Source organism: Homo sapiens, chromosome 3 (genome assembly GCF_000001405.40).
Source record: "Homo sapiens chromosome 3, GRCh38.p14 Primary Assembly".
Lineage (NCBI taxonomy): Eukaryota > Metazoa > Chordata > Mammalia > Primates > Hominidae > Homo > Homo sapiens.
In genome coordinates, this window is record NC_000003.12 from 139,099,085 (window position 1) to 139,125,192 (window position 26,108).

At 45.5% G+C, this 26,108-nt stretch overlaps 1 long non-coding RNA gene across 1 annotated transcript; it reads left to right on the top strand.

The window, feature by feature from the left end:
- Positions 1-5,100: 5,100 nt before the first annotated feature.
- Positions 5,101-26,083, top strand: BPESC1 (blepharophimosis, epicanthus inversus and ptosis candidate 1). Its single transcript, NR_026783.3, has 3 exons — positions 5,101-7,337; positions 10,128-10,221; positions 24,897-26,083. It is a non-coding gene; the product is annotated as a blepharophimosis, epicanthus inversus and ptosis candidate 1 (long non-coding RNA).
- The last annotated feature ends 25 nt before the right edge of the window (positions 26,084-26,108 follow it).

The following is a 26,108-nucleotide window of genomic DNA, read 5'->3' on the forward strand; positions in this document are numbered from 1 at the left end:
TTGAAAGACCCTTGATTATTGTAACCTTAGGAAATTTTTCTCTAGTTTCCTCAACTATTCTTTTTATCTCATCCCAGAAACAGAAACCATGTCTAGAGAGCCTCATCTTTATTATTAAACTGCCCATTTATAAGTATTCCTAAAAAAATGGTGAAAGTAACAGTGATCACTGAGTGTTTACTATGTGCAAATCAATCAATGGGTCAATGAACAAATATTTATTGGGTTTCTACTTTAGGCTCAGTACTTTCTAGGCACTGGTACTAGAAAGTGCAGTGCTTATTGATTCCCATGTATTATCTAAATTAATCCTCACAGTAGCTGCATGAGATAGGTACAGTTATTATTCTTTTTGTGCAGATGGGGAAATTAAGGCTTAGGGAGGTTTAGTTCCCTAGGCCAACACAGTTCTCTTCCTGAAAGGTATTCTATCATGTGTTTTGAAGTAACATGTTTTCTTTCTACAATATACTGGAATCAAATGAGGTAATGTATGTAAGCCATCTAGTTTGTCAAATCAAATTTGCTCAGTTAATGTTAGTTCTTTGTAAAGTGAGACAACAACAACAACAATCACAAAAGAAACAAAACATAGACTATTGTAGCCACTTGATTCTAATAATTTAACCAATTGTCTTCAGAACAAAGCAGAAAATAAACAAATAAATACATACCTCAATAGCTCTACAAACCTTTGGGGTGGGGGTGCAAAGAAGAAGAAGACACAGCCTCTAGTCTAGAGGGCAGAACTGCCAGGCCAGCCCCCTAATGGCAGCGGGACACTTACTGGATGCTCGGCCCTGAAAGCTAGCTCTGCCTGCATGTTCTCATGTACTGCTGAGAACAACCTCATGGAGCAGGTTGTTTTTCCTTTCAGATTAAGAATCTGAATGCAAAAGGGTCAGTCACTTGTTCCTCCTCCTCTCCCATAGGCCCTGTAGAGATCATTTTGATTGAGTTTTTCCAAATGCTCATCCACTCCTGTGCCTGCAGTCAGTGTGCAGGCTGGAGCTAGGCTGGTTTGAGGAGCTGCCTTGGCCACTGCCAGATGAATGGGTATGCAAGCAGAGTCTTTTTGGACAGGAAAGGGCAGTGGACAAACCAGCCTTTTGAGGTTGCTGGGGGCCTGAATGAACCAGTCGTTTGAGTGCATCCCTGGGCTCTGCCGTGCAAGCAGAGCCATTTATTACCTAGTGAACCTGGTCTATATCTAGGACTACCCCATTGTCAAGGTAGCTTTGGACTTGGAGATGAAGTTCCCTGTGGAAAGCAGGCTGACCTGCCTACCTGCCATGAGCTTCCAGATCCCAACCCCAGCCTCTGGGACTTCCTTGTCTCCCAGCCCTGGTCGCTGTGCTGCCATCATCAGACTAACCTTCACTTCTTCCTTCAGACTGTGGGCTCCTTAGGGCACAGGCCAAGTTGTCGTCATCTTAGCATGGGGCCTGGAACTGGCCAGGTCATGTTTTTCCCGTGGATTGAATGATACTGAGCTCTGGCCTGTGTCCTGAAGATGCTTTATATTCCCAGTCTGGCCTCAGACTTGTTGAGGTTTCAACAGCCCCTCAGACATTCAGCAGCCCTGCCCTGACCCCTCTGGCCTCTCTGGTCCTAGAGTCAGCACTATCTGGCCCTCTGTTTCTCTAAGCCCAGGCCTTTCACAGGTTCTGCTTCTTCAGCCTGTGTGTAGCTGTCAAGGCTTCTCTGACCTCAACTGGCCCCATAGCCTTCTCCACTCTAACTTACTTGCTTTTCAAACCCCAATTCTCTAAGCCAGACTCTTCTTGGACCCTTAATTTTTTTACTAGCCACTTTTGGGCCAGTGTATACCCTGGTCCAATCAGCTGGGACTGGGCTGGTGAGGCCATGTGGCAGCCCAGGCAGCAGAGGATCTGTGCTGGCCAAGTCCCACAGAAGGGCATGGAGTGGGCAGGCTCAGTGATCTGCACCTCTAACCCACTGACAGCCCTCTGCACATGGACGTGGGACTGGGCTCCTTCACCAGCCTAGACTCTGTGGGAGTGGTACCCACATCTCATTTACATCTGGATCTTCAGTGCTTAGCACAGGGTCTGGAGCACAGCACATGAGTAGCCTGAAAACCATGGCAGTGATATAGATTGCTGCATGGTGGGCTGCAGATCCTCCAGCCAGCTCCTCGAAGACCCAGATTGCTGCCTGAAGCAGAAATGCCTGCTTTGACTGCGCCCACCTGACTGTAGGCCGTCAGGGGCCCAGCTCTGATCTGCGCAGCTTAGGCCTGGGCACTTTCTATAAGTGTCAAAGTGGCAGCTGTTGCTCAGGAAGGTCTCATTGCTTGAATATTTCAAAGCACTCAGAGCGTCTCCCAATTCCTCCCCTGCCTGTGACTGCACGTGCAGCACAGAGAGGGTAGACAAAAGACCTTCTGCCCATGGCCCCTGCTCACTTTAACAGGCAGCTTCTCTCACAGATCCTCCCCCTAGCCCCCTGGGAGTGCTACCCAGGGGCCACCTGCAGAGAGGGGAGGGGAATGCATCTGTGCTCCTAGAAGACAGTGTTTTTCCTGTCCCCTGGTCACCATCACACCAGCAGGGAGACCTTTTCAAGCACCTGCAGCTGCTCCTGGGTGGTGGTTACCTGACAGAGTCCCTCTGAGGTGGACCTGGGAAAACTGGAGATGTCATGGAAAGGCCTTTGGTACTGTACCTTCCTGATTCTTAGGATCTGCAGCTGGTGGTCCTCTGAGGGACTGAGGGTTAATTGCCATCCCCTCCAAGGAGATTTGGATGGAGAGGAATGGGATGGTGTAATGGAAAGGGTCAGAACAACCAACAACCAAGATTTGAACTGGGGCCCTGGGCAACTAGAGCACACCCCTCTCAGAGCCTCAGTTTCCTCCCCAAGATTATCTTGAGGACACAGAAGTGTTTTAAGTTTTGTAAGCCTGTGTCCTAAGGTGGAGTGGGGGTGGAGCACCCTGCACTCCTACAGTTCAGAGGTCAGTAAATTAGTCTGGGAAAAGGGGAGTGGGGCTCTCCTCTTGGGACAAGGGAGGGGCCCTCTCTGAGTCCCTTTAGTTAAACTGTGAACTCCCCTCAGAGCAGGTATGATCCGTTATGAGAGCCTGGTTGGAAGACCCAGGAGTGGCAGGACCCAGGATGGATCAGAGTGAGCTGTGGGGGCACACGCTGTGGGACTGGCCCCTGCTGGGTGAAAGACCCTCAGAGCTCTGGGTAGAACCTGCAAGCAAAAGGGTATCCCAGTGATGTAAATCAGACCAGTGTGCAAAAGTAGATATCATCAACGTGCATATTGAGCAACTACTGTGTGCATCTGGGGAGAATGTTGGTACACTGACAGGCTGTAAGCACATGTGAAAAGCTATGAACTGTATCAGATAGTTGGCGGGTGTGGGGATGTGCAGGAGGATTCCAAGGGGAGGGGTGGTATGTGGGTGGAAGGGGCCATAGCTTAGTGGTGCTCTGCAGAAGCTGATTTCGGTGGGGGAATCATGGAGGGGCAGAAAGAGTGTGCAAGGTCAGGAGGGTGCTTGCTGTGACCCAGGAACCAGATGTGGGGAGTTGGGTCAGGCCAGCAGCAGTGGGAAAGAGAAGGTGCGAGGAAGGAAAGGAATTTGAGAGGAGCAGGAAACCAGTCATGGTTGCCTGAGCAGAGGGAGCAAGGGTGAGGACCAAAAGGAAATTCCCACATGTTATGTCAGGTGCAGGGAGAGAGGTAGAGCTGACAGGACTAGGTATGCTGGCCCCCAAGTGAGAGGTGGGATTGGAGTTGCTGGGAGAGCTTGCTTATGGGCCAGAGGATGTCTGGCTCATCTCAGTACTGCTCATGGGGCGGAATGAATGCGAAGTCCCCCCAGATGGGGACACCATGTGGCAGAGTGGGACCACTCTGGCTTTGATGCAGTCTCGCCATACCTCTCTCAGCTGTGTGACTTCAGGAGCAATCCTTAACCTTTCTGAGCCTATATCAGCTATACCATCTCCCTCCACCTGACCTTGAGATGGCAATTACAGTGGCTGTAGTCCAGTTTATCAATAGAAAGGAGCCATGGCTGGACAGACGTGGGGACATGGGGCAGTCCCATTTCACAGGCTGGAAAACAGAGGCCCTAAAACAACACAGCTCCCTTACACAGCTGGCCTTTGGGGCTGCTTGGTCCTAGCTCTGGATCCTCCACAAGGATCCTCACACTGTGGTGCTGGAAGTGCCTGGTGGCCTTGTGGTGGCCGCTCCCACCTCCCTATCAGCTGTTAACCTACAAATGCCCTAGTAAGGAAAATATTTTCATTCTTTTATAACACCATTCTCAGGACTGCTTAATCATATTTTTCTTTGTCTTTGAAAACAAGCTCCTGTGTGGTTTTCTATTTTCTTGCTGCTCTTCTAAGGATATTCTAGAACTGAACCTTGCTGTCTGGCACTTCATGCCTTTTTAATTGCGTCACCATCCTCTGGCTACTTTAGATGGGGTTAGGGTGGGCAGGCGCTAAGCCCCTCCAAGTGCCTCACACCACACTTGACCTCACTTCTATTCTGGGACAAAGGTGTCACCTCATTTTGCAGAAGAAACTGATGTTCAGAGAGGTTAAGTATCCTGCTCAAGGTCACACAGCCTTTTTGATGAGAATTCAAGCCATTTTGATCTCCAAGCCAGGGATAAGTCTGTTAATAAACCCACTCTGCCCTGATCTCTGGCACCAGCCTGCTGTGGTGACCTCAAGCAAGTCCGTTAAAGTCTCTCTGCCCCACGTTCTCTGGGTGTGACAGCCTATTGTGAAAACAGGAGAATGAGGATAAGAGTGACTGTCAACTGGCTATGTGAGCCATTGGTCAGTTTTCTGAAGGGTCTGCTATATGCCCGCTGATGCTGTGGTCTCCCCAACCAGATTATTAGCATCCTCACACCCCTTGTATGACTTGACCCACAGAGGGGCTCATCAAAGATGTGCTTGTGTTGGATTCTTTTTGTTATTGTTATTGGATCTTGATATTATATGCTGAAGCCAAGTTGTGACTGATGGAAGAATCTGTAGAGGTGTTTGCTGAAAGCTAAGGGACTGCATGGGTGGGTGGGTGGGAAGGGGAGTTTCTTCACAGAAAGGAAGAAGAGGAACACGTTGCTGTGTGCTCGTGGCACGTGGCCTGTTGGGTCCTTTCGCAGTCCTTTGAAGCAGTTGCTTTTACTGTCCCCTGTTTTACAGAAGAGGAAACAGCCAAGGTGACTTAAGGGCAGAGCGCCAGCAGGTATGGAGCCTGAATTTAAATGCAGGTCTGCATACTGCAAGCACCTGGGTTCTCTCCACCCCTCCTCTGGACTCCCATTTGTTCTCTGTCAGTGACTGAGAAAGGGTGGGTGGGACTAGGAACTCAGCTTCCGGTCCATGACCACATCCATGGAATATGGGAGGAAGAGATCAAATCACAAATCTTGGGAGTGAGGGAGAGACACATCCTTGGGGCTACTCAAGCCCCCCATATCCTTTGCATACCTTCTTTATCCCTTTTCTACCCAGTGGATTTGGAGGGAGTGGGCTTGGGATACCATCAGACAACGAGAAACACGATTTGCAGGACTGTGTGGAGGTATCCAGGCCTGAGGGCCCTGCTCCAGAGCTCCCCTCCTCACTCTGTGGCTGGAACAAAATCTCTTCCTTGTGTGGCCTTGGCTTCCCTAGCAGGGATCCCAAAACATGGGATCTGGCCATGCTGCTCAGTCCTTGGGTTGATTTCTTTGAGCTCCAGCTTCTCTGAGCATCCCCTCTGCTGTCCCCACATCCTGATAGCCCCTCTGGGAGCTGGGGCCTGGCCTTTCTGCCCATTCTCAACAAACACTCTTGTCTGGAGACAGGCAGGACAATGGAGAGCTACCTTGTCCTGCTGCTGCCCCTGCCACCACAGCTGCTTATGTGTGACCGATGGGGTTGAGAGGGGCAAGAGTTCTGTGGAGAGAGTGGAGGGAAAGAGTTTTTTTTTTTTTTTTTTTTTTTTTTGCTATGCACAGTTCCTCCCAGCAACCTTCCCTCTCTGACCAATGGGGCCTCTAGGCTCTGCCCTTCACGTTGGGGTCTTCCCCCACCTCCGGCCCTTTGGTTTTGATATGGCTAGTGACCAGCACTGACCACCATCCCAAGCTGGGAAGAGCAATTGGTGAAGAGTGTGTGTACTATTTACTTTCTTCACCCTTGCCCCTTTATTCTCAAGGTCTTTTGATTGTGAAGCAAGGCCCGAGGCCTTGACTGGTGAGATTAGCCCGGGAGGTGGTGGCTCCCTCCTGCTCTCTGTGGTGAAAGCCAAGCACACTTTCCTAAAACCAGCGTCGGAAGCTGTGCTGTAGCCTGTAATTACTGACATGAAGGTCCCCACACAGAGTCTGGATGGAGGCTGCCCTGGAAGCAGCCCCGGGCTGGGAAAGGGCTGAGTGTCAACAGGCCTGTGTTTGAATCCAAGTCACCTGTGTTCTCTGACAGGTCACTCAGTTCCTCCGGCCACAGCTGCCCCTCTGTGAGATGACATAACACTGCTTACCTCTTGGTGTGGCTATGAGGATTGATTGGGCTGATGTGTAGAAAATATGTAATGCAGGGCTTGTCCTGGAGGTGATGTTAGGTAATGGTGAGGTGGATCTTCCCTGTGTGGTCCCTCCCTTCGTGTGCCCCTGCCCAGCCTCTTGGCACCTCCTGTTTACTCCCCGAGCCCCCAGATTCTCACCTTTGCCCAGAGCCACATTCGGGCTTGTCTTCCTCTTCCATGTCCCCGCATGCAGAATCCTCTCTTTCTTCTGCCAGGGTTCTTCCTCTCCAAGCCCTCCTCTGAACCAGCTATCCCTCTGGAATGCAGCTGACCAAACAAATTCCCACTAATGTAACTGGTAGTATCTTAGAGGTGAACTCTCCTGTGGGCATTTTATTTGTATCTTAGAAGAATTTTTGTTTTAAATCTTATTTTTCCCAACTGGCATATAGTAGGGTGCTCAATAAAGGTGGGTTGCCTGAATAAGTGAAAGAACCTAAGGAACAATGTCTAATGGTGGAATTTCAGTCATGTCTTCATGCTTTCAGCCTCTCTGCAAACATTTATTTTGTGTGCTAGATACTGGAGATATGTTGCTGGATAAAACAGCCACAGTCCTTGCCCTTTGGAACTTCCAGTATAGTGGGGACAATCAGTTAATAAGCAAACAAACACATTTCTATTTATAAATGGTGATAAAATTCCTTGGCTAAAAGAATATTGCAGAGTCTATGATACTGTATAACAGGGGCTTCTAATTAAATTTAGGGGATCCTGATGCCACTTAGCAGTGGGATTTCAGAGGACCTTTCAGAGGAGCTAAGGTAAGATGAGATGGAGGCAGAGTGGGGCAGGAAAGATGGCTTAGGGGCCTCTTTGGGCTTTGTGACACTCCCTCTCAGGCCAAGACCTCCAGCCTGTGCCCCGGGCTCTGCCCACATGGTGCCCCTGCCCTGGGAGCCCTCACAGTTTACTATGGGGTCCAGCACTGCAAGCTGCAGGGGCTAATGCCTAAACTCCTGGTGCAGTGGCATGCCCCACTGCAGGCCTCCCCGAGTCTCCAGGCTGCACATTTCACCCTGGCCTGCCTATGACCTGCCCAGCAGATGTCCATGGTGCTCCAGAGGAAGAATGGGTCGTCCTCCACCCACCCAGCGTCTTTTTAAGCACTTGTCATGTCCGGCTTTGATTGCTGTCCTAGATAGCCAGCTTCTAACCAGAGATCAAACCTCTTCGTTCATGCCAACGTGAACAGACATTAGACAACAGACCATTACTTGAAAATACATCTCTTCTCATCTTAGCATTTAGCCAGGGATCACTGGCAGAGTCTTTAAGGCTGTCTCTCCCGGCCCTGAGGGTCAGGCTGCTTGCCACCTCTGCAGCACTGTTCCTCTGCCCTTTAGGCTCTTTCTTCTCCTGCTCATCTGTCAGCCTGTGGCCATGTGACAGGCCATAGGAGATTTTCTAGCATTTTTCCTGTTCTTGTCTGTGCTGCCTGTAGGCTCCTCTTTATGGAAGCACCACCCAGATTGCTTCCCATCTTCCTCCCTCAAGCCTTTGCTAGTCATCACATCTAAGTGGGTAGGACCTGAGCTTTGAAGCCTGGGTTCTAATTAGAACTGGGTTCTAATCCTGTGTTGAGCACTCGCTAGCCTTGCAAGTGGTAAAACAGGGTAACCACATAATTTAGCATCTCAAGTAGAATCCTTTTGAGAGTGAATTTGACAGAGATAACAGGTATAAGCCAGTGCTGTCCTGGGCAGTGGGAATCTGCTCATCCTTCATTATGTACACAAAGGAGCAACAGCTTCCCCAGATAGGTTTTTTTGGGGGCAGGAGCTGGTTTGGTCTCATCTGGCTCATGGTTCCTTCCTAGTGTCCTGTGCTGGTCACTGGGGGCTATGAGCTGAGTGGGACTGGGCCCTTGCGCTCTTGTCCTTCGCTCCATGCAGTGGGGTCTGGCAGCGCCTGCCTAGGGCAGAGCAAGGTGGAGGAGGTGGGCTGAGAACCCAGCATGTGCGGCAGCCCCAGATGAGCTCCCAGGTGCCCCTTTCTGCTGATAGAGAAGGAGGTAGGAGGGACTGAGTGGAGGGGTGTGAGCTGGGTTAACAGATATGCCGCTTGAGTCTGGTTAAGGGAGACTGGTGCTGTAGCAAGAGACTGAGGCCCGGCAGATCCCAGAAGCTGGGGGGCTGCTGTGCCTGCCATGGGCCACTTCAGACCTTTGGCCTTTTCCTCTTGTAGGGGTCAGGTGAAAGCCAGACCAGCACTTTTTCCTGACATTAGGGGTCTGAACTGCTCCATCCCCCGCCTTCTAATGCAGTGGGGCTCCCTGGGTTTCCATCCTGGGCAGTGATATTCCCAAGGCCGAGGGCAGGCAGGGGGCTGGGCCCCAGTCTGGTTTCAACCTGCTCAGCATCTGGGGGCTGTGCCCAAGGCCCAGGGCTCACTCTGACCCCTACGTCTGGAAGCAGGGCAGAGCGAACCTGATCTCAGGGAGTTATCAATGGGAGAAGCAGCCACCCGAGATTGTGGGGGAGAGGGCAGTGGGACTAGCCGGCTTCTCCCAAGTCTTCAGTCGCTGTGAAAGCCTTCAGCCTGGGCCAGGAGGGGAGGTTCAGCACTCCTCCAGCAGCCCAGCCTGCTCTCTCTGCCAGGTGGCATTTAGATCTGAAGATAACCCTCAAGGGACTCTCAGTGATGGAGACACACCAGGGAGTGAAGTTGGGAGGATGAAATTTTACTTATTCCTGCTCCTCTCCAAGGGCAAGCCTTGTCCCACAGTGGCTGTTGCTGAACACACTGTGTCATCCCCATCTCCATGTCTTAGCAGTGGCCGGATACCATTTGCCTTAAATACGTTCCCTTTTCTGCCCATCAGTCAAGGCCCAACTCTAGGCCTGTCTTTCTGGGAGCTCTTTATGCCTTTCCCAGCCCAAAGCCTTTTTCTGCTTGGAATTCCTCCTGGAATGTGTGTCCAAATGATACAGCATTCGGGCCCATGGCTTGTGCACATCCCTTGCCATTCCATGAGGGTGTAGTTTCCATAGCCCCACAGGAGCCTCCCACAGCACCAAGATCCATACCCACAGCAGTGAGCAGGGACCAGACCCAGTGCTGACTGTGGCATATGGGAAGCCCCAGGATTAGAGGGGTCATGGGCAGAGCTGTGGGCTGGGCACATCCTCAAATGGGACCTCTCAGAGGTGCCTGTGCAACCTCAGGCCCCGTGCTTGGAGGGGCCAGATTGTTTTTATTCTGTTCAGCATTTGTCACTTGACCAGTTGGCTTATGGGGTTGGTAGCAAACACAGCCCCATCCTACCCAGTGCACTGAGGAATGAACCCACCCTGTCCCAGTTCTCCAGAGGGGCCATTTGTCCTCCTGGACCTGTGCTTGCAGTGCCTCTATTGTGGTATCAGTGGCATCAAGTTGGCCAGCTGCTCTGCCCTTGAGAAAAGGGTCAGATCACAGGGGTGAAGAGCAACCTTGGAGAGTGATGCTCTGGCTTTAGAGTTCAGGGTTTCTTGGTATAATTAAAGGAAATTAGTTTGCTCTGTATGGGTCAAATATAGGCATATTCTCATGATTGTCATGTTTCTTTCTCCCAGCATTTATCAGCTGCCGCTTATTCATTGCCTTGATTTTCTTCAAAAGACAACTATAATCATTCAAAAATTCCAAGTTGGGTCCAAAATGTCAAAGGTAGGTATTGGACTCTGCCATGTGCCAGGTCATATGCCTGAGTCTGTGTCCTTCAACAGGCTGTCCTTATGATGTTCAGCAGGGCTACAGCCAGGATGCAAATGAGCTCCCGGAGCTCCTCATCTAAGAGTGTGAGGAGTGCTAGGTGGAGGAGCTGCTCTTAGCGGGGCAGCCCAAGCATTTCTTAGCATAAGCACTTCTGGGCCACCTGGAGCTTAGACCATCTGTGTCCTGGTCTCTAGCCCCTCTCTTGCCACGGAAATGGTCTCCTGTACAGAGTGCTTCAAGTGTGAGGCAAGCAAGGAACCCTAGCCTGATCCATTCGGAGCACGACCTGCTCTCCAGGCCTCACTTTATATGACAGATGGTGGTGATGGACATGTTCATTTGAAAGGCCAGGGGGCATGGTGATTTTATTCTGCCTATATCTGCCATTATTTCTCCTGGGAATACCCCCAGAGTATGCCTACTTTCAATGCTAACACACCGCAGACTGATTAGAGGAATATTGTTGACTGCTTTTGGAAAAGAGGAAGAAAAGCACATTCCAGAGGATACATACCTCTCTTGATATCAAAGTTTTTCCTGTGAAGGTTACCTTGGTTAGATTTTGGTTGGAGAGTTGAAGACATTTCAGTCTACAATGTTGTAAAAGGCTTTAAAAAATCCTCTTGTGGTATGTTTCCAATTTAACACTGAAAAAATATTTCTATTGTGCCATATATAGTGTAACTTAAAACCTAATAAAAGCTCCAAATTAGGGTTGAGCAGAATGGTTTGAATTAAGTTCAGGTAGAGGCAAGGACACTGTATCTGTAGGCTGGGGCTGCTGGCTCTCAGGCCAAAAGGCAGGTTCACACTGGGAGACTGGATCTGCCAAGTCTAGAGAGGAATTGTCTCTTCTGCCAGATTCTGATGCTCTTGGCCCTTGGCCCACAGGACTTTGATGCTGTTGGCACCTGCCCCCGGCGCAGGAAGGGCCTGGCTGTTGCTGTTCATGTCATCTTGGTTGCTTTGCAGGTTTCTCACTGGGGCCGACTTTATTAGATTTGCTGGTTACGTTTTCACTTTCAGGAGGTGTCTTTCAGCTTTTGCCTAGCCACGAAGCTTCCTTTTGAGAAGCTGCTTGTGTTCTGGGCCCCCACCCATGCAGCGAATGAATGAGCGTTGAAGTTGAGTTTGGACGTGGTTGCTTCAGTATCCAGCGGTCCTTCCCTAGCAACACAGGCCATTTAGGAGCACCACCTAAGGCTTCTTCCCCTTCCTACAGGTATGAAGAATGGGCAGGGTTTCATTTCCTCTGCAAGCAGGCAGCGTGGCTGGACACTGTATTCTGGAGCCTGGGGTGTCATCATCCTCAGGCTGCAGAATCAGCAACACTGTTCCATCTCCTCCTGTTCAGCCACAGCAGCCTCCTGGCTTCCAGGGCCTCCTTGTCCCTTGGCTTCCTTACAGAAGCCCTCTGTGTACAGCTAGTCTCCCAGACCCCTGGGAAAAGTCTCCTTTGCTGAGGAGGGATTAGTAATGCTCTTCCTCCTCTTAAAGTCCTCTGCCATGATCAGTGATAGTATTTCTGCTCTGTTACACTGGCTGGAAACATTTGAACCTGAAAGCATTAAGTTCTTTTTTTCCTTTTTTTTTTTTGAGATAGGATCTCACTCTGTCACCCAGGCTGGAGTGCAGTGGCACGATCTCAACTCACTGCAACCTCCACTTCCTGGGCTCAAGTGATTCTCCCACCTCACCCTCCTAAGTAGCTGGAAATACAGGTGTGCATCACCATGCCCAGCTTGAATTTTTTTTGTAGAGATGAGGTTTTGCCATGTTGCCCAGGCTGGTCTCAAGCTCCTGAGCTCAAAGTGATCCTCCTGCCTTGGCCTTCCAAAGTGCTGGGATTACAGGTGTGAGCCACTGCGCCCAGCCTGAAAGCATTAAGCTCTGACAGATCTTCCCATAGTCTCTAAAAGGCAAGGAGGGGTTCTCCTGCTTGGGATCCTATGTTGTATTTAATTATTTAAAAGGATGTGGTCTTACCCCACCCATGTAAGAGGGATGGGGCAGAGTTCCCAGTGTTGAGGGAGAGGGACTGTCTGGGTTTTCCATCCCCTGTAGGGTTGAGAACTATCCTGGCCTCTAGCAAATAGCCTTCCTGACCATCTTAGAGCTGTGAACCTCCTTGGTGCTGCTGGGATTTTTCAGGCATCACAGCCAGAGACCTTCTGGAAAAGGCTGTTTAATCTTCACAGCAACCTAGTCACAAAGACATTCTCCCATTTCACAGAAGAGTAAACTGAGGTTCGGATGTAGGAAACTACAAAACTGGGGAATAGCTGAGCTAGAATCTGGCTAGAGTCCTCCCCATGTTTCCTGGAAATGTGTGACTGAGTCAGAGACCATATGCTGGGGTAGAAGGGGCTGTAGCAGGACCCCAGGGGGCCAGAATTTCACAGGGCTGAAGGCAGAGAGCAGGGATTTGGGGATGTGTTGTAGATAGAGGGATGGTGGTGGTTGGGCCAGTTAGCCTTGTGTACAGGTGCGAATTGAGGGGGGCAGTGAGACATCCCAAGGTAGACAGAGTCTCCCGTTATTGCTTATTTTGTATTTTTCTTCACAAGAAGCAGCCACAACTTTCACATCTCTGGATCTTAAGACCATCTCCCTGGGGCTCGCGGAGGAAACCTGTGAGGGCAGGACAGACCCCGGCTCCCACTAGATGGCACTGTTGCAGGACGTTTTCACCCCGGAGCTCTTCTCCGGGTGTGTGTGTGTGTGCACGCGTGAATACCTGAGCTGGACAGAGAGCGTGGGTGTGGTGTGCGTGTGTGTGTTGGGCAGCCCTGGGGTGGGTCTGGCAATGCCCTGGCCCACACTTTGTGCCTCCACTTCTCTGGAATTTTTCCTTAGGACAGAAGTTTCTGCTTCTGAGACATCTTCCAAGGCTTCTGTGGGTCCTGGGTTGTGGGCACCAGATGCCAGGGAGTTATGGAGTGACCAGGACAGGTCCAGCTTGCCTGATGGTCCAGACATCTGTGGGAGACGAGTGAGTCCTGAAATCCAGCCTCAGAGACACTGCAGAGCCCCAGCAGGCCCCACACCTGGGTGGGGCAGTATTGGAGGATCCTGATGAGGACAAGCTTTTAGGGTCTTGAATGTTTCTAATACAAATAGTTGTATTTATTTGTACTGGTTGATTGGTAGTAGCTACTGGAGTGCTCTGTAGAGAAAGCTTCTGAGGCTGGGTCTGTCTTAGAAGGAAAGAATGCTGTTGTCAACCAGTGATGTCTGCCAGAGGCTTGGGACAAGAGTAACACCCATGATATAGATTTCTTCCTTATGTAAGTGATAACTTATATATGAGGATGAACCAGTATGTCAGAGAATCCTAGATATTTAGGACGTTAGAAATTATCCAACTCTATCCAACTCACTCATTTATTTCATAACTGGAGACATTGAAGCACAAATAGGCAAAATGAGTTGCCCAAGCCCACCTGGGTAGTAGCAGAGAGAAGAGTAGAAGGCAGGTTCTTGACCACCTTCTGGACACACCCTGCCTGTGTCCTTCTGGACACACCCTGCCTCTCCAGTTGGTCCAGTTCCATGTTCAGACAATGTCCTAAATACCAGATTAACTTATTTTATCTGTTGTTTGGGAGTCTTTACACATGGTTGCCAAGAGAAAGCCTCAAGTGAAGAACTGTTTGTGTTTTTATTGTGTCCCCAGAAGATTCTGGCTAGGGCAGATTTGTAAGGCTGAAGCTTGGAGAATAAATCTTAAGAGAGAAGAAAGGAAAGAAACTGGGCTCTGGATATTTGGGAGAATACAAGAACAGAGACATGGAATAGATGTGGTTAAGGGTGGCAGCTCCAGTTAAGTCCAAAGAAGCAGGCTGAGCAGACCAGGAAGGTCTGGGTTAGAGGTAAGGAAGCCTTTCCTGAGGGTGCAGGGAGCTGCCTCTGGCATGGGCGGCCTCACAATCCCTTCTGCACAAGTGGACCCAGTGGGAACCTGCAGAGCCCTGCTGAGTAGAGGAGTTCTTAGGAGTTGGAGCCAGGAGCTGCAGGTTCCAGCTCATCTCACACAAAGTGTGTCATGGGCTGTGCCTGTGCTTCACTTTCCTTCCTGGTGCATGGGGTTAGCCACCTGCTACTGCATGATGCAGTGAGAGTCAAAGGAGATAACGGTGGTCAGTCTGTGTGGGAACAAAGAGTTGATTTAAAAGCAAGCATGGAGACTTCTCCTGAGGCCTCTGTGAAGCGAACCGTAAGCCCTGTTTAACAGTCTTTTTGTTTATAGATTGGACAGTGTGGACATGGGTGTGTACCATAAGAGGGAATAACATTGAATTACTGGAACTGTCCTGTTGGGAGTAGCGATGAGCTGCGTTAGGCACTCTATCTCCTTTCATTCTTCTAATAATCCAGTGACACATATAGTATTATTATCCCCATTTTCCAGAAGAAAAAGCTAAGGCTCAGAGAAGTCAAGTTGCATGTCCAAGAATATGCACTCAGTAGGTGGCAGAGCACTTACCCCACCTGCCTGCCGTCAGGGAGGCTGCCATCTGTAAATTAGTCTGAGGGAGGACTGGCATGAGGTCACCTTGTCCAGGACCTTGTACCCATTTCCAACTGTATGTATCATCTGGACTTACCACAGGTGTCTGTGGGTGAATAAAGACCTAAAGTTTACTTCTGGGTGGGTATCATCTGTGTGTGTTTATGCACCCATGCACCTTAGGAAAGGGTGGCCAAGGTAGAATCCAGAACAGGGAGAGAAATTGTATTAGGGCTCTCCAGAACAATAGCGTCAATAGAATGTGTGTGTGTGTGTGTGTGTGTGTGTCACACACAGTGATGTGCTGCGTAATGATGTTTCAGTCAATGGTGGACTGCATATAGGATGCTGGTCCCATAAGATTATAACGGAGGTGAAAGATTCCTATTGCCTAGTGATGCTGTAGCCATCATAATGTCGAAGCACAATGCATTACTTGTGTGTCTGTGGTGACACTGGCATAAACAAATTATATAATATATACAAATTATATATTATATATGAAATTTATATATAATATATAATATATATAATATATTTAATTATATTTAAATATATAATTTATATATAATATATAAAACAAATTATATAATATATAAAAATATATATTATAGTATATTATATATTATACAATATAATATATTATATATAATATATAATATATTATAATATATAAATATATAATATATTATATATTATATTATAATATACATTATAATATATATAATATAAATTATATATAATATAAATATATATAATATATATTTATATTTATATATTTTATTTATTTTTTTAAAAAATATATATATTTATATATATTTAAATATAAATATATAATTTTTGTATATTTATATTTATATATTTATATTTATATATAATATATAATTTATATAATATACATAATTTATATAATATATATAATATATTATATAAATAATATATAAATATATAATAAATATATAATATATATTTATATATTATATATTATATATTTTAATATTTTTTTATATTTTATATATAAAAATATTATATTTTTATGTATATTTAAATATAAATATATAATTTTTATATATTTATATTTATATATTTATATTTATATATAATATATAATTTATATAATATATAATTTATATAATATATAATTTATATAATATATATGTAATTTATATTTCTATAATATATAAATATAATATATTTATATATAATTTATATATATAATATACATAATATAATATATTAATATATTATATTATGTATATTATATATATGAATTATATATAATATAATATATTAATATATTATATATATTATAGATATAATATATATAATATAAATTATATAATACATATAATGTATATAATTTATATATATAAATATATATAAATTATATATTACATATAATTTATATATAATATATTATATATTATATATATTATATTATAATTATATAATTATATATTTTATAATATATATATTATATTTATATTTTATATAATATATTATATAATATATATTATAGAAATTAAAAAATATATGTATTTTAATATATATATTAAATATATAAAAAATATAAAATATATATTTATAATATATATATTTTATATATTTATATATTTATTAAATATATATAAATATATATTAAATATAAAAATATATAAAATAAAAAATATATATATTTATAATATATATAATATAATATATATAATAATTATATATAATAATTATATATAATAATTATATATAATATAATATATTATATATATTGTATATAATATATATAATATATTATATAAATAATGTATAAATATATATTACAAATATATATTATATATTTATATATTATAAATATACAATGTATATTATATATTATAAATATATATTGTATATTTATATATTATAAATATATATTGTATATATATTATAAATATATAGTATATATTATAAATATATATTGTATATATATTATAAATATATATTGTATATATATTATATATTATAAATATATATTATAAATATATATTATATATTATAAATATATATTATAAATATATATTATATATTATAAATATATATTATAAATATATATTATATATTATAAATATATATTATAAATATATATTATATATTATAAATATATAATATATATTATAAATATATATTATAAATATATATTATTTATATATCATATATAAAATATTATATATTTATATATTATAAATATATTATATATTATAAATATATAATATATTTTATAATATTATATATTTTCTATATTTATATATTATATAAATATATATAATATATAATATATAATATATAATATAAATATATAATATATAATATATAATATAAATATATAATATATAATATATTATATAAATATATATAATATATTATATATTATATATAATATAATATATTAAATGTTAAATATAATATAATATAATATAATATATATAATATATAAATATATATATTTATATAATATATAAATAGAAAAAAATAATATATATAATATATAAATATATATAAATATACATAGACACACATACTGTGCAGCGATGCAAAAATATTTTCTATCTTTATATTCTTATTTTGTAAGCCTTTTTCTGTTTTTAATTTTTTTAACCTTTTAATCTATTTTGTTAAAAACTAAGACACGAACACACGCAAAAGGTTAGAGTCACCAATATCACTGTCTTCCACCTCCACATCTTGTCCCACTGGAAGGTCTTCAGGGGCAGTAACATGCATGGAGCTGTCATCTCCTACATTAACAATGCCTTCTTCTGGAATTCCTCCTGAAGGACCTGCTTGAGGCTATTTTACATTATATATAATATACACAGTTTTTTGAGATGGAGTCTCGATCTGTCACCAAGGCTGGAGTGCAGTGGTGTGGTCTCGGCTTACTGCAACCTCTGCCTCCCAGGTTCAAGCAATTCTCTGCCTCAGCTTCCCGAGTAGCTGGGATTACAGGCACCCGCCACCATGCCTGGCTAATTTTTTTGTATTTTTAGTAGAGATGAGGTTTTACCATCTTGGACAGGCTGGTCTTGAACTCCTGACCTCATGATCCACCTGCCTCGGCCTCCCAAAGTGTTGGGATTACAGGCTTGAGCCACTGCGCCCAGCCCAATCTAAGTGTTATTACAAAAGCGTCAAAAAGTTAAAAAATTGAAAAGTTTATGAAGTAAAAAAGTTACAGTAAGCTAAGGGTAACTTATTATTGAAGAGTGAACAGTTTAAAAAATAAATTTAGTATAGCCTAAGTGTACAGTGTTTATAAAGTGTACAATAGTGTACAGTAATATTCTAGCCTTTCACATTAACTCACCACCCACACACTGACTCACCCAGAGCAACTTCCAGTCCTGCAGGCTCTGTTCAGGGTAAGCAAACATTTTAAATCTTTTATAGGGTATTTTTACTGTACCTTTTCTATGTTTAGATACATAAATTCTTACTGTTGCATTACAATTGCCTACAGTATTCAGTGTAGTAACATGCTATACAGGTTTGTAGCTAGGAGCAATAGGCTATACCACATTGCCTAGATGTCTGATACACCATGCAGGCTATACAATCTAGGTTTGTATAAGTACACTCGATGCTGTTCACACAATGATAAAATTGCCTAATGATGCATTTCTTTAGAAGTATCCCTGTTGTTAAGCAATGCATGACTGTGTGTGTGTGTGTGTGTGTGTGTGTGTATGTGTATACACATACACACAGGGGGAGAGAGAGAGACAGACAAGAGAGAGCAAGTAGGCTGCAGGCTAAAGACCCAGGGAGGAGGTGATGTTTCAGTTGAGTCTGAAGGCAGTCTGCTGGCAGATTTTCTCCTCCTTGGGGGATGTCAGTCTAAGGCCTTCAACTGATTGGATGAGACCCATTCACATCGGGGAAGGTAATTTGTTTGATTCAAAGTCTAGTGATTTAAATGTTAACATCATTCTAAAAATACCTTCACAGCAACAAGCAGACATGTTTGACTAAAGATCTGAGTACCATGGCCCAGCCAAGTTGACACATAAAATAAACCGTCACAGAGACTAACTGACGTCTCTCCATCCTGGTCATTGGAAAGCTTAGGAGCCTCTTGTTTGTGGACCATGGGTGGGCAGTGGGGAGATTTCTCCTGCAGACAAAAACCCAGCATGCTGGCTTCCCCCTGCCCAGCACAGAGCTGAGCCATACTCATGGGTCAGGAGGAAGAACCACTCACAGGGGCATGCACACTGTAAGGTCCCCTGGACTGGGGCTGCTGTCTTGGGGGTGGATGGGGTGGGTGGTTTGGTGGAATATCCCTCTGGATCAGCAGAGCAGCAAATGCATTCCTAGGGAGCCCCACTCTATTAATGGGATGTCCAAAGGAGACTCCTGGGTGTTGGCATGACCCGCAGCCCTTTCTTCTTCCCAGAGAGAGTTAACAGTACATAGGATTTCTAGACCAGGAATGTCTTCTTTCCAGAATGTTCTCAAGCCTTTCCTGTCAGTAACTGTTCATCTAGTAGAGTTCCTGCAGGAACCTGCAGGCTCTGGTTACACCCTTGTGGGAACTGGCTGGGTCCTCCAGGTAGAAAGGGAGGCGCTGAGGAGTGGGGAGAAGCTTTAGTCGTGGCATCTCTATGGAGCAAGGAGCCCTGCAGTCTGGCTGCCTAGACCAGCCCAGTTTCTTTGGTTCTCTGAGCCCAGTGAAGACAGGCCTGGTCACACAGATGGCATGTCTTTGACCAAAGGCTTGATTGTGTCCTCATCTGGCAGAGACCAGCACAGCCCACCAGTCATCTCGTCATCTGTTTCTACCTCTGTGAGCTCAACTCACGGAGAAAGGGTATGGTAGCATGGGGAACCCTGGAACACATAGAAGGGAGACATCTAGTGCAACCCAGGGGTTCAGGGAAGGACATTTGAGGAGACATCAGGATAGTACCTGGTGAAGTTGTGTGTGTCTAAGTGTCTATGTGTCCTTTGCAGAGGTCCCAAATTAAGACAGAATATGGCCCAGTCAAGGCCCTGCAAGTGTTCAGTGTGATTGGAACCTTGAGTCGTGGATGGAGGCAGTGGGAGGCAGCACAGAGAGGCAGGTTCTTAGCCTCGCAGGTTACAGGCCAGGCTTGTGAGCAAGACTAAGGAGTTCAGACTCCATCCTATGGACAGCAATGGGGCAGCTTTAAGTTTTTGAGAGCTGACAATATGGAATGGAGGGAGTGAGGCTGGGGGCTGGGGCCATGAGGAGGCTGTGGTCGTTACCCGGGTGACTGAAAGGAGGACTGTGGCCATGGAGGTCAGGTGGAGGGTGCAGAACTGGATGCCACTGACAGGATGTATTGGTTGGATGATTGAATGTGCAGCATGATGAGGAGTGAGGGGCCAAGCATGATGGAGGCCAGGTCTCTAGCTTGGGGGCTACTTTAATGGAAAGGCCACCACCTTCTTCAAAGGTGTTGGGCTCCCCTTTTCTGAGGCTCCCATCCAGTTCCCATGAGCCCCCTTACTGTAATAGCCCATCACATGAACTTGAACTTGGCTAGGATTGCCCAGTGCCATTGTCAGTTTCTTGGCACACAGCCCCAAGGTCAGCCTGAGATTGGGGGCCTGGCCCAGGGATGAGTGGGTGGGAATGTGGTGATGGGCAAGTTCAGCTGAGGCTGCATAACTCTGCCAGGGCACTGGGGCCGGAGACTGGATGCCCTTTGCAGGGGCTCAGACCTCTTCCTTGACTCCTGGTTCTGGTGCCCCAGGGGTTGTTGCATCTCCCAGAAGGGGGCTGACCTGGCTGTTCTCAGAGATATTTTCTAAACTGCTACCTTGTGGCTGCAGTCTAAAGGTTGGCAGTTACATGTCAGAAAAATCTGCATGGAGTGCCTACTATGTGCTTGGCCCTGTGCTGGGTTCTGAGTGAGAGAGGGAGATGCAACACCTGTGAAGTGTATAGGGAAACCAAGCTGTGAGGCAGGATACACTAGGAGACCAACTGCTGACACCCAGTGCTCAGAAGTGTATTTGGTAGCAGCTTAGGAAAGGGGAAAGGCAGTGTGGACCAGAGTTAAGGAGGTCTCAGGTAGGAGGAGCAGCTTAAGTCTTGTCCAATGCTCATATAAAGTAAGGGAAAGGGAGGTGTTGTCCAGGATGGGGGAATGGTGAAAGAAAGGCAGGGTCCAGGAGTGAGCAATGAGAAGAGTGGCTACATGTGTGTGTTTAAATTGCACAGGTCTGGCATTGCTTCTTTATATGTTCTCTAAAGTCTACAATGTACAAATTATGCATTTCTGGTTCTAATGGGGTGGAGGGACAACTGGGTACATTTTCCCTTTTGCATCATGAGTTGAGGCAGACAGCTTGGTTTTGCATGGGCAGTGGGTACAGCTTATCTCACTGTGCCACAGATGAGAGCAGGGTTGGAGAGTGCAAAGCACTCCTTGGCCCAGCCGGTGGGAGCTGCTCAGTGCTCCACCCTAGGCTCTGTTTTCATCAGGGCTTCATAACCCACTCTGTCCCCAAGGCCTCTCAGTCTAGGCCAGGCCTGTAGCATGTCACCATGGCAACCTTCTGGAATCTCAGCATGGTTAGAGGCACAGTGAAGTCATTAGATGACCAGTCATGAAAATCGACACCAGGGAACTAGTTTCCAACACCAAGTTCGTGGGTGGGGCATTGGGGTACACAGTGTACAACCTAGATGGCTGTGGTCAGCACTTCTGTCATCAGGCAGGAGCGAGTGGACATCTGGCTGAGGGGCGGGGGGCTCGCTCAGCCCATAGTAGTGGCAGGCAGAAGGATAGCAAGGAGAGTTCTGTGTCATTTCCGAGATGGGGGAAGGTCTGGCCTGGGCCTGACGGAGTGGATGGCTCAGCCAGCTGACAGTTGTGTTGGGTCAGATGTGGCAGTGTTTCCCCTGCTGTTTCCTGAGGCCCATCTTGGCCTCTCCTGACCACATCCTGCCCCTGCAGTATACAGTATAGTGGCCCACAGCATGGGCTGGGGTAGCTTGGCTGGCCCATGGGGGCTTGCCTTAGGAGGGCAGCCAGGGGAAGGGCTGTGGGATATCCAACTTGTGTGCTAGGTATGCTAGGTAACTTGATTCCTACACGTGAGGGTTTTTCCATTTGTCAAATTGGTTTTTCCTTCTGGTTGCACAGTACAGATAAGCCTGGCTCAACTGTCAGTGGGCCACCAAGCTGCCCTCCTTCCTTGGATGGCTGCCTCTGCGTTCTTCTGAGTTTCACCTGCCCAGTCTGTTTTCCTCACTTGGGCTGGAGTCATCTTCCCAAACCTGCACCTGGAGAGTGAGCTCCTTAACTCTGCAGCTGGAGACCTGGTCTTGCCCACAGCTCCCACCTCATCACCTCAGCCTGTGCTCCTCCCATCCCATTGTTTGGAAACTTCTCCTCTCACCCCTCTGTCTCCTCTTCCAGGAGGCTCTCCCTGATCTTGCCTCTGTGCTTCCCAAAACATCAGTGCCACTCATTTCTCATTGCCCTGGTCAGGCGGTGCAATATCACCTGCCCTGATCAGGTGATAGACTTGCCTGTCTATCACCTCTTTTCAGAGTGAGCTCTTTCAGCAAGTAAGCCCTATGCTTAGGGGGAGTTTTCTGAACCAAACCCATTGTGAACGGGACCCAGGAGGGATGGGGAAAACCCTCTGTGGCTGGTGATTGCTGAGCAGCCTGAGGAAAGGACTTTTGCTTCTCCAGAGACTCCTGGGCAGACCATGCCACTGAAGAGCCAGTAGAGTCAAAACTCACACTGAAGTTGGAAGGCAGATGATAACACTATTAAGCTTCCACACAGAATGCTTACCGTGTGCCAGCACTGTTTCGCAATGTTTGCACATCTTATCTCTAACCGTCACAGGGCTCTGGAAGGTTGGTAGTATCATAAACATTCCTCCGATGAAGAAACTGAGGTTCGGAGAGGTTAGTTGACTTGCCCAAGTTCCCACAGCTGGTAACAGTTGGAGCAGGGATTAGAATCCATGTTGGTGTCATCTCAAAGCCCATTTCTTTCCATCACTTCACCCTGGTTCTTTGTGAGCCTGGCCTGTGGGAACAGACCTTCTCCAGAAAGGTCCACTGAAGCCTGAAGAGCATGTGCTGTTTGTTTCTTACCCAGCATTCTGTCAGGGTCCCTGGCACGAGCATCTGAAAACTTATGTAAACTCTTAAGGGCATGAGCCCTGACATCAGGGCCCAGCTCCTTCTCTGTTAGTGTTTCCTAATTGATACTATCCCAGTGATTGCTTTAGAAATTGACTTTGATGAAAAAGCTTTTAATTACATAATAAATTACTCTCAGAGGAACAGGCCGTTGTGTCATGGCTCTGCCACGTGTGGGGCAGGGAGCTGGCTGAAGGGAGTGTTTGGGATGAGTTGACATGCATCCTCCCACAGCATGCCTCTGCATTTTTCCGTGGTGACTACAAGATGGATTTTGGGACTTGAATGGCCCACCGGGATAACACACAAGTATATGGGCCACAGGGAAATATCTGCACCATTTTGCTCCTAGTGGACCAGAGAAAGCTGAATGTGAAAGAAGCCTTGTTTTGAAATGTGTTTTCAAAATAAAGGGTTTCATAACAATCACGATTGCAGAAATAACTGCTGATGGGAATAACTTCCTGGAAAGCAGAGGCCTCCATGACAGTTGGGATTTAAAAGGCTAGACCATGTTACAAAACAGGTTTACCTAATTGAAACTCAGCATTGCTGTTCACACACACACACGCACACGCACCCCTCTCTTAGGCTGAGGCTTTATTGTTAGCCTCTGATGCCCTTTCATTGGTAGCCTCTGATACTCTGCCAAGGACCACTGGGCCTTTGTTTCAAGGTTTAGGGCAACATAGGGTGCTGAAGTGGACTTTCCATTCTCCTTCTGCCTCCATGTCCCTGGTCTAAACAAAGTGGCTGGAGGTAGCTGCTTGTGTATTGGTTGCCTTGAGATTAACTGTATGTCTCTGCCTCCTGGCCACAACTGATTGGATCAGGCATTGAGGCCCAGCCAAAGGCAGCCCCTCAAAGGCCAGCGAGATGGGCTGTTGCAGGATGCTGTTTAATAGAAACTCAGTGTTTGGTATTGTGGTTAATGGGCCCGATCAGATCCTCTCCTCTGTGGTACCTAAGAGAGATAGTTGAGAGCAGGCAGGCAGATAAAAGGCAGAAATCAAGAGTTTTAGAAGCAATGGGATAACAGGATAGTAGGGACTATTGAGAGGGCAGCTGATAGCAACCAGAGGAGACAGAGGAACACCAGGTCATGAGAATGTCAGAACCATGGGAAAACAGTGGCCTCCTGAAGGTAACTCTTGTTGTTTATGGGGCCTGGCTGAGCACCTACATGCAGCCTTACAATAAACATTCATCCTCTTTGGGTCGAGTTTGATTGGTGACTTTATGTAGAATCTAAAACAGTTGATCTCGTAGAAGCAGAAAGTAGAATAGTGGTTACTAGTGTCTGGAAAAGGGAGGAGAAAGAGGGAGGGGGAGAGGTTGGTTTAGAAAGCCAGAATACGAAATCCTTCCCCAAAACCCCACACATCCCTGGAGAGCCTCTGAACCTGTTTAGCTCCTTGCTTCCTAATGGAACCTACCCAGCCAAGGGCCCGCACACATTCTTGCCTCTGTTGGGCACCAGAGACAAGGAAAGAGAAGATTCTGCCGAGGGGAATTGCCAGCCTTGGCACAGTCTCCCTGCCCCCCTTCAATGGGCTTTTGGGTTAGGGAGGGTGGCTTTGAGACCATCTGCTTCTCTGTCAGAGGAAGTAGGGGGAGGTACTCTGCCGAGGCTGGAGACTCTTGGCAGCCCCAGGAGACCTGGTTTCCAGACCAGAAGAGTTTTCCACAGAGGTGGAAGGACACGGTTCTGCTTTGGATTTGGAAAGGGTCTTGCTGCATTTTTCCAATGTTGGTTCAACGAAACTCAAAACTGTTTTTCCTAACGCTTTCTTCCCTTCGTATTTAAGCCACTCTGTATGCGTGGAGAAAGGCAGTACATGTGCTTTTGATTCCTTTACTCTGAAATCATCACCCTTTCTCTCTTGAGAAATCCTGTGTCTCAGAAACCTTCGGAGACATTTAAGCCCTCTCACCCCCTCTTTAAACCAGGACTCTGCATGCTGCTGAAAGCAAATGAATGTGGAGGGTTTCAAACAAGACAAAAGGCATTCCTCCCTGCCCAATCCCAGTGCAGTCAAGGCCAACCTAGGCAGCAGCCACCTTCTCAGGAAACAAGGCCTTGGAGAAATCAGTGCCTGTGTGAAGATGGTGTCGGCTGAAAAGAAGAGCAATGGCGTCAAGTACTAAATGATTATCAAGGGTCAACTTCTGTATCTGTATCAGCTGCAACACACTGTCTTTAATACCCCCAGCCCAGGAGCTCGTGCCTTACATGCTGGGCCCACATTCTGCCCCAAGCAGAAGCTGCAGGGACCTCAGTGTCCACCCTTCCTGCCTCATGTCTCAAGGCAGCAGCTCCTCTCTGGTAACCTGATGGTGATGTGGCCAGGGTGCCGAGATGGGACAGCAAAGATGATGGGCTCTGCACACCAACTCCAGGAAACTCATTCTGGGCCAGCTCTATGCAAAGGGAAAAGCATGTTGCATTCACCTAGGCCAAGAAACAGTGTTGTAGGTTAAGGGCATGGACTGCTTGAGTTCAGTGCCAGCTATGCCACTTACCAGCTGTGGGACCTTGGGCAAGTTGCCTTTGTGCCTATGCTTCCACTTTCCTTTTCCCTCCACCATGAAGATGGGTTAAGAGTCTCAAGGTTGTGGTGACTGTAGATATATGAGTGTGCATTTGCTATGCTTTACCTGTCTGGCATCTAGCAAACATTCTTCACATGTTTGCTGTTATCAAGATTGTTGTATATGTGAATGAAATGATACGATGTCTCAGATTTGCTTTAAAATAATAGGGAGGTTGGGGAAGTGGGTTGGGGTACAGACGAAACAGGAGTAGGTGTGAGTTGATAATGTTGAAGTTGAGTGATCAGTACGTGGGTTTATTACACTATTCTTTTCACATTTGCTTTGAAACTGTTCATAAAAATTTCCATAATAAAAGTTCTATATATATATAAATATATACATACATATGAGAAAATGATGTTTATAGCAGAGCTTCACTAGACATGGTATGTAGCATGTAGTGCACAAGCTGATTTTAAGTGATATTCAGATGGCCTTTTAAATTTAATTATTATGTATTTAAAATTTAATTAATTATAGCAAGTGATATGAACTGTGATAATGCAGAAGGTTTCCTTTTAAAATAAAGTTCAGTCAAAAAAGTGAGATGATTTGATGAAAGCAATT